The sequence below is a fragment of the Homo sapiens genome, chromosome 6 (assembly GCF_000001405.40).
Source record: "Homo sapiens chromosome 6, GRCh38.p14 Primary Assembly".
In the NCBI taxonomy this organism is placed as follows: Eukaryota; Metazoa; Chordata; class Mammalia; order Primates; family Hominidae; genus Homo; species Homo sapiens.
This window is the reverse complement of record NC_000006.12, coordinates 157,334,632-157,343,969: the sequence shown is the minus strand read 5'-3', so window position 1 is coordinate 157,343,969 and position 9,338 is coordinate 157,334,632.

Below are 9,338 nucleotides of genomic sequence, written 5' to 3'. Positions count from 1 at the left end.
CAGGAGACTTGGCATTTGGACAGGAATGTGCAAGTTGTCCACCCGCTTTTTGTTTTGCTTTGTCTTTGTTTGAGACAGAGTCTCACTCTGTCACATAGGCTGGAATGTAATGGCATGATCATAGCTCACTGTAGCCTTAACCTCTTGGGCTCAAGCGATTCTCTGACCTTGGCCTCCTGAGTAGCTGGGACCACAGGCACTCACCATCATGCCCAGCCAATTGTATTTTTTGTAAAAACAGGTTTTCACCATGTTGTCCAGACTGATCTCAAACTCTTGGGCTCAAGCAATTCTCCTGCCTCAGCCCCACAAATTGCTGGGATTACAGGCACGAGCTACTGCGCCCGGCCTTTGGTTTTTGTTTTTGAAATGATGTCATGGGTTCAGGTTTTCTTTATGTAAAGAAAAAAAATTCAGATCAATGGTAAAAAACTACTACTGCTGCTAGTACTACTACTATTACTACTACTACTGCTGCTGCTGCTGCTGCTACTACTACTACTACTGCTACTAATGGACCAGTGAGCTTTTCTTGTAGTCTGACCATATAGGAAAATAAGTCCTTACCTTACAGAAGGTGTTGTTAATCTTAAAGCTCATGACACCTGGGTTCAAGTGACAGCATTATCTAATCTTTCAAACTTCTTTTTTTAATTATTATTATACTTTAAGTTCTAGAGTACATGTGCACAACGTGCAAGTTTGCTACATATGTATACATGTGTCATGTTGGTGTGCTGCACCCGTTAACTGGTCATTTACATTAGGTATATCTCCTAATGCTATCCCTCCCCACTCCTCCTACCCCACAACAGGCCCTGGCGTGTGATGTTCCCCACCCTGTGTCCAAGTGTTCTCATTGTTCAATTCCCACCTTTGAGTGAGAACATGCAGTGTTTGGTTTTCTGTCCTTGAGATAGTTTGCTCAGGATGATGGTTTCTAGCTTCATCCATGTCCCTACAAAGGACATGAACTCATCATTTTTTATGGCTGCATAGTATTCCATGGTGTATATGTGCCACATTTTCTTAATCCAGTCTATCACTGATTGACATTTGGGTTGGTTCCAAGTCTTTGCTATTGTGAATAGTGCCGCAATAAACATACGTGTGCATGTGTCTTTATAGCAGCATGAGTTATAATCCTTTGGGTATATGCCCAGTAACGGGATGGCTGGGTCAAATGGTATTTCTAGTCTAGATCCTTGAGGAATCACCACACTGTCTTCCAAAATGGTTTAACTAGTTTATAGTCCCACCAACAATGTAAAAGTGTTCCTATTTCTCCACATCCTCTCCAGCACCTGTTGTTTCCTGACTTTGTATTGATCACCATTCTAACTGGCGTGAGATGGTATCTTACTGTGGTTTTGATTTGCATTTCTCTGATGGTCAGTGATGGTGAGCATTTTTTCATGTGTCTATTGGCTGCATAAATGTTTTCTTTTGAGAAGTGTCTGCTCATATCCTTTGCCCACTTTTTGATGGGGTTGTTTGATTTTTTCTTGTAAATTTGTTTAAGTTCTTTGTAGATTCTGGATATTAGCCCTTTGTCAGATGGGTAGATTGTAAAAATTTTCTCCCATGCTGTAGATTGCCTGTTCACTCTGATGGTAGTTTCTTTTGCTGTGCAGAAGCTCTTTAGCTAAATTAGATCCCATTTGTCAATTTTGGCTTTTGTTGCCATTGCTTTTGGTGTTTTAGTCATGAAGTCCTTGCCCATGCCTATGTCATGAACAGTATTGCCTAGGTTTTCTTCTAGGGTTTTTATGGTTTTAGGTCTAACATTTAAGTCTTTAATCCATCTTGGATTAATTTTTGTATAAGGTGTAAGGAAGGGATCCAGTTTCAGCTTTCTACATATGGCTAGCCTGTTTTCCCAGCACCATTTACTAAATAGGGAATCCTTTCCCCATTTCTTGTTTTTGTCAGGTTTGTCAAAGATCAGATGGTTGTAGATGTGTGGTATTATTTCCAAGGGCTTTATTCTGTTCCATTGGTCTATATCTCTGTTTTGGTACCAGTAACATGCTGTTTTGGTTACTGTAGCCTTGTAGCATAGTTTGAAGTCAGATAGCATGATGCCTCCAGCTTTGTTCTTTTGGCTTAGGATTGTCTTGGCAATGCGGGCTCTTTTTCTGTTCCATATGAAGCTTAAAGTAGCTTTTTCCAATTCTGTGAGGAAAGTCATTAGTAGCTTGATGGGGATGGCATTGAATCTATAAATTACCTTGGGCAGTATGGCCGTTTTCACAATATTGATTCTTCCTATCCATGAGCATGGAATGTTCTTCCATTTGTTTGCGTCCTCTTTTATCTCATTGAGCAGTGATTTGTAGTTCTCCTTGAAGAGGTCCTTCACATCCATTGTAAGTTGGATTCCTAGGTATTTTATTCTCTTTGAAGCAATTGTGAATGGGAGTTCACTCATGATTTGGCTCTCTGTCTGTTATTGGTGTATAGGAATGCTTGTGATTTTTGCACATTAATTTGGTATCCTGAGACTTTGCTGAAGTTGCTTATCAGCTTAAGGAGATTTTGGGCTGAGACAATGGGGTTTTCTAAATATACAATCATGTCAACTGCAAACACGGACAACTTGACTTCCTCTTTTCCTAATTGAATACCCTTTATTTCTTTCTCTTGCCCAGTTGCCCTTGCCAAAACTTCCAACACTATGTTGAACAGGAGTGGTGACAGAGGGCATCCCTGTCTTGTGCCAGTTTTCGAAGGGAATGCTTCCAGTTTTTGCCCATTCAGTATGATATTGGGTGTGGGTTTGTCATAAATAGCTCTTATTATTTTGAGATACGTCCCATCAATACCTAGTTTATTGAGAGTTTTTAGCATGAAGGGCTGTTGAATTTGGTCGAAGGCCTTTTCTGCATCTGTTGAGATAATCATGTGGTTTTTGTCTTTGGTTCTGTTTATATGATGGATTACATTTATTGATTTGCATATGTTGAACCAGCCTTGCATCCCAGGGATGAAGCCAACTTGATTGTGGTGGATAAGCTTTTTGATGTGCCGTTGGATTTGGTTTGCCAGTATTTTATTGAAGATTTTTGCATCGATATTCATCAGGGATATTCAAACTTCTTTCAACATTGCTGCCTGATGTGGAACATGGAAACCATCTCCTCAACCAAGGTTTCAGTTAAACTTCTCTATTCTGTCACTACTGTTTTGTTTGTCTGTTTGTTTGTTTGTTTGTTTGTTTTGAGATGGAGTCTCGCTCGGTCACCCAGGCTGGAGTGTGGAGTATAGTGGCACAATCTCGGCTCACTGCAACCTCCACCTCTTGGGTTCAAGCAATTCTTCTGCCTCAGCCTCCCGAGTAGCTGGGACTACAGGCATGCACCAACACGCCCGGCTAATTTTTGTATTTTTAGTAGAGACGGGGTTTCACCATATTGGCCAGGCTGGTCTTGAGCTCCTGACCTCGTGATCCGCCCACCTTGGCCTACCAAAGTGCTGGGATTACAGGCACGAGCCAACGTGCCCAGCTTCTGTCACTGCTGTTTTGACTTTGAACTCTTTTCATCTTCCTATATAGCCAAGCCACGGCTCTCACAGACATTTAAATGATGACTGCATGTGGTGGCTGATGCCTGTAATCCCAGCACTTTAGGAGGCTGAGACGGGAGGATTGCTTCAGGCCCAGGAGTTTGAGACCAGCCTGGGCAACATAGTGTGATCCCATCTCTACAAAAAATAAAAATGAAATTAACAGAAACCAAAAAATATTTAAATGGCATCAGATAGGTTCTGCACACATGTCAGCTGTGGCACTGAGGCTCTATGACCACACTGATGATGCCAGCCCACACGCAGTGTCACTTCCCACACCTGCCCTGCTGGGCTGCTCACGTTAGTGATCCAGATTGGAAGTGGCAACTAGTTTCAACCGGTTTCCGTGCTCAGATACACTTCGACACCACTGATTTAAAAAAACATTTCAGTACATTTATCTTTGCTAAAGGTGATTTTTGCACAACCACAAAGTCATCAGGTGAAAACAATGTAAGTTACAAACATTGATTCTATCTGGTGGGGTCATGTATTCACTTCACAAACATTACTGAGCACCTGCTACATGCCAAGCTGTGTGGATACAGTGATGAACAAGACTGGCCAGGTTCCTACTGTCATCCTGGTGAGAGAAGCTAGACAACAGGCAAGCAATCTGCCTAACCCACAAACTGCCTGACCCCCAAACTGCCCAACCTCCAAACCGCCTGTCCCCCAAACCACCTGTCCCAGCCCTCCTGTGACTGGGGACAGCAGCTGCCCCCTCCACTCTGGGCATTTGAACAGAGGGTCCCAGTTTGTGGCAGCAACTATCACCAGTGACAACAGCCTGCCCTCTAGAGACAGAAAGCTTCCACCCTGGCTAGTTATGTGACTTTGGAGGATGGATGAACAATTCCTTGGACAACAGTTTCTTCCTGTGTCAAATGGGGTCACAGTATCTACCCCACAGGTGTGGAGATTAAATGACTCTGGGCAGATAAAGCACTTTGCACAGTGCCTAGCACCAAGCATGTGCTTGATAAATGATGGCAAGTACTGCCTTCAACATATGCATGTTTCATTGTAGGTATGTATCTTAGTTTGGGCTGCCATAACAAAATGCCATAGGCGAGGTTGCTTCAACAACAGAAATTTATTTCTCATAGTTCTGGAGGCTGGATGTCTGAGATCAGGGTGCCAGCACTGTTGATTTCTGGTGAGGGCTCGCTTCCTGACTTGCAGACAGCCACCTTCTTGCTGTGCCTTCACATTTAGAGAAAGAAAGCATGCTCTCTGGTGTTTCTTCTTAAAAGGACACTAATCCCATTGTGGGGGCCTCACTGTCATGATTTCATGTAAAACTAATTACCTCCCATAGGCCTCACCTCCAAATACCACCACATTGGGAATTAAGGGTTTCAACATAAGAATTTTGAAGGGACACAAACATTTATTAGTCCCTAACAATATGTTTCTTTGGGATTCCACTGAACCTGATTTTTTTCATTATCTTTTGAAAATTATAAGGTCCTGAAACCACACAGCTGAACCTTGAGGAAGCACAGCTAAGCATTGCCAAAATTTTACTTGAAGTGTTATCTCTTTTCAAGGACAAAACATTCCGTCAGAGAGCAAGCTGGTCATTCTCCACCTGTGCCCTCACATCCATTCTTTACCCTCTTGGCCTTTCTCTGCTCCAAAGAACTCCTGTGGGGTCCTTTTCAGCTGCTTTCTGCTAAGACTGGGTCAATGGGAGGCACCAGAGGACATCCTAGGGCAGGAAGCTGGGCATTGTTTCCCTGTTCCCTTCACACTTTTGGTGCCTGGTTCTGGGACTTGTGACATCCCTCCAGGAGTTCCTGGCTCTGCCAGATCACTGGATTTCAAAACGTCCACGCTCCCACCCCATCTCCCTTGAGGCCCAGGGTTTGTAACAGCTTCCCACTGTTGCTAGTATCCGAATGCCCCAGCCTTTCATCAGCTCCCTGCCCACATCCCTAGTGATAGTCCCTTGGTTGAAGAACCTTCCGCTGAACAGGCCAGGTGTGGTGGCTCACGCCTGTAATCCCAGCACTTTGGAAGGCCGAGATGGTCAGATCACTTGAGGTCGGCAGTTCTAGACCAGCCTGGCCAACATAGTGAAACCCCATCTCTACTAAAAAATACAAAAATTAGCCGGGCATGATGGTGCGTGCCTATAATCCCAGCTACTTGGGAAGCTGAGACATGAGAATCGCTTGAACCCAGGAGGCAGAGGTTGTGGTGAGCCGAGATCGCACCATTGCACTCCAGCCTGGGCGACAGAGAGAGACTCCATCTAGGAAACAAACAAACAAACAAAAACCAAAGAACCTTCCGCTGAACCAGCTGAGGGGTTTTCTATTTCCTGATGGGCCCCGGGCAACAGATGTAATGATAATAAACTTCACTATTTTCCCATGCATCCTACTTTCCTATCAGTCATGCTCTTAGTTTAATAAAATATTTTCCTTCATTAAAACAGAAATTCTGGAGAAGTTCCAGCTGGCACATGTGGCTTTTGCAAGGTCATGATGGTAATTGCCATAAGGGAAATAATCATTTTTAGGATTTAGTATTTCAGTGAAATTGAGAAATACAGCAAAGGAAATGTAATTCTTGCTCATGGCTTGATGGATTCAGAAATGTGAAAAATGGTAAGTTAGAAGTCATTAGCACAGGAGTTGGCAGAATCGAGCTACCAAAGGATCATATTGTTCTTGGTCATTTGCCTTCTCATTACTCTTAAGGCAAAGACTAATTACCTGCCTACGAGAATCCAACACTTGTCTCTAAGCCAATATTTAGGGGCTATCATGAGGCATATTCTCATCCCTCCCTCCCCACAAAAATCTTGGAAATAAGAGAAATAAGATACTCTCTGAGAGTTAAGTTTCAAATCACTAGGACAGAATAATAACAAAGAAATACAAAGTCACCTTAAAAACAGAAGTACCCTCAGCCTGGGCAATATGCCAAAACCCCATCTCTACAAAAAAAATACAAAAATTAGCCAGGTATGGTGGCTCATGCCTGTAGTCCCAGCTACTTGGGAGGCTGAGGTGGGAGGACTGCTTGAGCCTGGGAGGCGGAGGTTGCAGTGAGCCCAAGTTGTGTCACTGTACTCTAACCTGGGCGACAGAGGGAGACCCTGTCTCAAAACGAAAACCCAAAGCAAAACAAAACCCAGAAGTATCCTGAGAGCTGGAGGACTTGGCTTTGGCTGGATTGAGTATATCAAACTATCTGAAGCAAAATGCGCTCGTCAGAAAAGGCCACCAAAGCTCATCATCAAAGCAGACATCAAGAGTGCTCAATGAATTCCCTTGCAGAAGAACAAGCTTGAATTGCTTGGAATGTTTAGATATCCTTACTGTGAAACAAACACCTCAGCTTATCTCAGCCTGATGCCTTTAAATAATCAATTCTAATTCCCCATGTTTCAATTCCGTATTTACCAAGAAATATTTTTATAGGAATAATTTTATTTCAAAAGTAATACATGTTTATAACAGAAATCATCAGAAAATATGGGCCAAGCCCAGGGATAACATTAATGCCTTGATAGATTTTCTTCCATGCCATTTTTCACACACAGAAATATACAAATATACATATTAACAAAAATAGAAAGGTTTCTATTTTGGGGTGGGGTTCAACTTGCTGTTCACTCAATAATGAATAATGAACATCTTTGTATATCAACAAATATACCTCTGTGACAGCAGGTTCATAATTACATATTATTTTTGATGGGGGGCAATCCTATAATTTATTTAACAAAGCTCTCATGCATATTTCTTTCATTTCCATCCTTTTGCAATTATTAACAGCATTGTTGGAGACATCCTTGTAGCAAATCTTTGCAACTCCTTAACCATTTCCCTGCACAGATTCTCAAAGGGCATGGACATTCCAAAACTTCTGATACATTTTGCCAGATTGCTTTCCAGAAAATAATCCTGTAATTTTTCCAGTGTTTGCCAGTTTTATAGGTGATGAATCAATCATTAGGCTATTGTTTTAATTTGTCATGAGGTTGAAATTTTTTCATGAATTTCTTAGACACTCGAATTTCTTGTTTTTAAAATCTTCCTATTCATAATCTTTGCCCCCTTTTTAAACAATGGGATATCTAGAGCTTTCTTGCTTATTTACAGAGGTCCTTATACGAATAAGGATATGAACTTTTGTGATCCATCGTACAAATATTTTTGTTATTTGCCTTTTGCTGCAATATGGTGTTTTGCCTTAAGCTCAGAATCAGTTAGGAATGAATTTAACTTCAGGAAATAGAAAACTCAGCTCCACTCTCTTAAGGGGGACTTATTATCTCATGTAACAAGCATCTCATAGAGAGGCAGCTGTTGGACCTGATTCAGACAGTTGACAATGTGACAGCTCACGTCCCTGTCCTCTCGTAGCCCCTCCCATTTGTTACCTTATCATCATTAAATGGCCGCTGCAGAACTAGCCACCAGGTCTGTGTTCCAGGCAGAAGGAAGAAGAGTGGAGGAAGAGACAAGACCAGCCGACCTTTGCTTATGTCTTATTGGCCAGAACCGATTTCATGGCCACTCCCAACAGTTAGGAAGAGGCTGGCAAGGGCGAAGGAGGCATAGGATTAAGTGAGCAAACTTAATCTGTCTGCTGTAGAGCAGTGTTAAGACTTTATGTAGTCAAACTGACCTACATTTATTTCTTCGGTTTCATGCTTTAAAAGTTCTTCCCAACTTATTTACCAACTTATTTCGGTAGATATTCATCTATATTTTTTCCATTATTTTTATTGTTTCATTTTGTCCCCAAATCCTTTTTGAACTTTCTCCTCTGATTTGAAATACTCCACTTCTTCACTAAGCTATGAGATGCACTGAAGTGCGTTTTGGCCGGTACTATTCTGTTCTGCAGATCTAGATTCCTATTCTGTGCTATAGCTAGTACTTTAATTAATGCAAAGTACCATGCATTTTAACATTGTGAGGCAAGTCCCTCTCATCATAGTGCTTTCTCAACAAAATGTTGACCTTTCTTGAATGTTTATTATTCAGATGAATTTTGAATCATTCTAACAAGGTTTAAAAGTAATCTTATTTGAGGCAGGGCATGGTGGCTCATGCCTGTAATCTCACCACTTTGGGAAGCCCAGGCAGGTGGATCACCTGAGGTCGGGAGTTCAAGACCAGCCTGGACAACATGGTGAAACCCTGTCTCTACTAAAAGATATAAAAATCAGCCAGGCATGGTGGCCCGCGCCTGTAGTCCCAGCTACTTGGGAGGCTGAGGCAGAATCGCTTGAATCCGGGAGGCGGAGGGCGTAGTGAGCCTAGATGGCGCCATTGCACTTTAGCCTGGGTGACAAGAGTGAAACTTCATCTCAAACAAAACAAAACAAAACAAACAACAACAACAAAAGAAGATCTTATTTGGATTTTAACAGGAATTGCATTACATTTATAACATAAAGGAGAAGAATTAACAACCTGTGTGATTAAGACTTCTAGGCCGGGCGTGGTGGCTCATGCCTGTAATCCCAACACTTTGGGAGGCCGAGGCGTCCGATCACGAGGTCAGGAGTTTCAGACCAGCCTGACCAACACGGTGAAACCCCGTCTCTACTAAAAATACAAAAAAATTAGCCAGGCATGGTGGCGTTCGCCTGTAATCCCAGCTACTCAGGAGGCTGAGGCAGGAGAATCGCTTGAACCTGGGAGGCAGAGGTTGCAGTGAGCCGAGATCACACCACTGCACTCCAGCCTGGGCGACAGAACGAGACTCCGTCTCAAAAAAAAAAAAAAAAAAAAAAG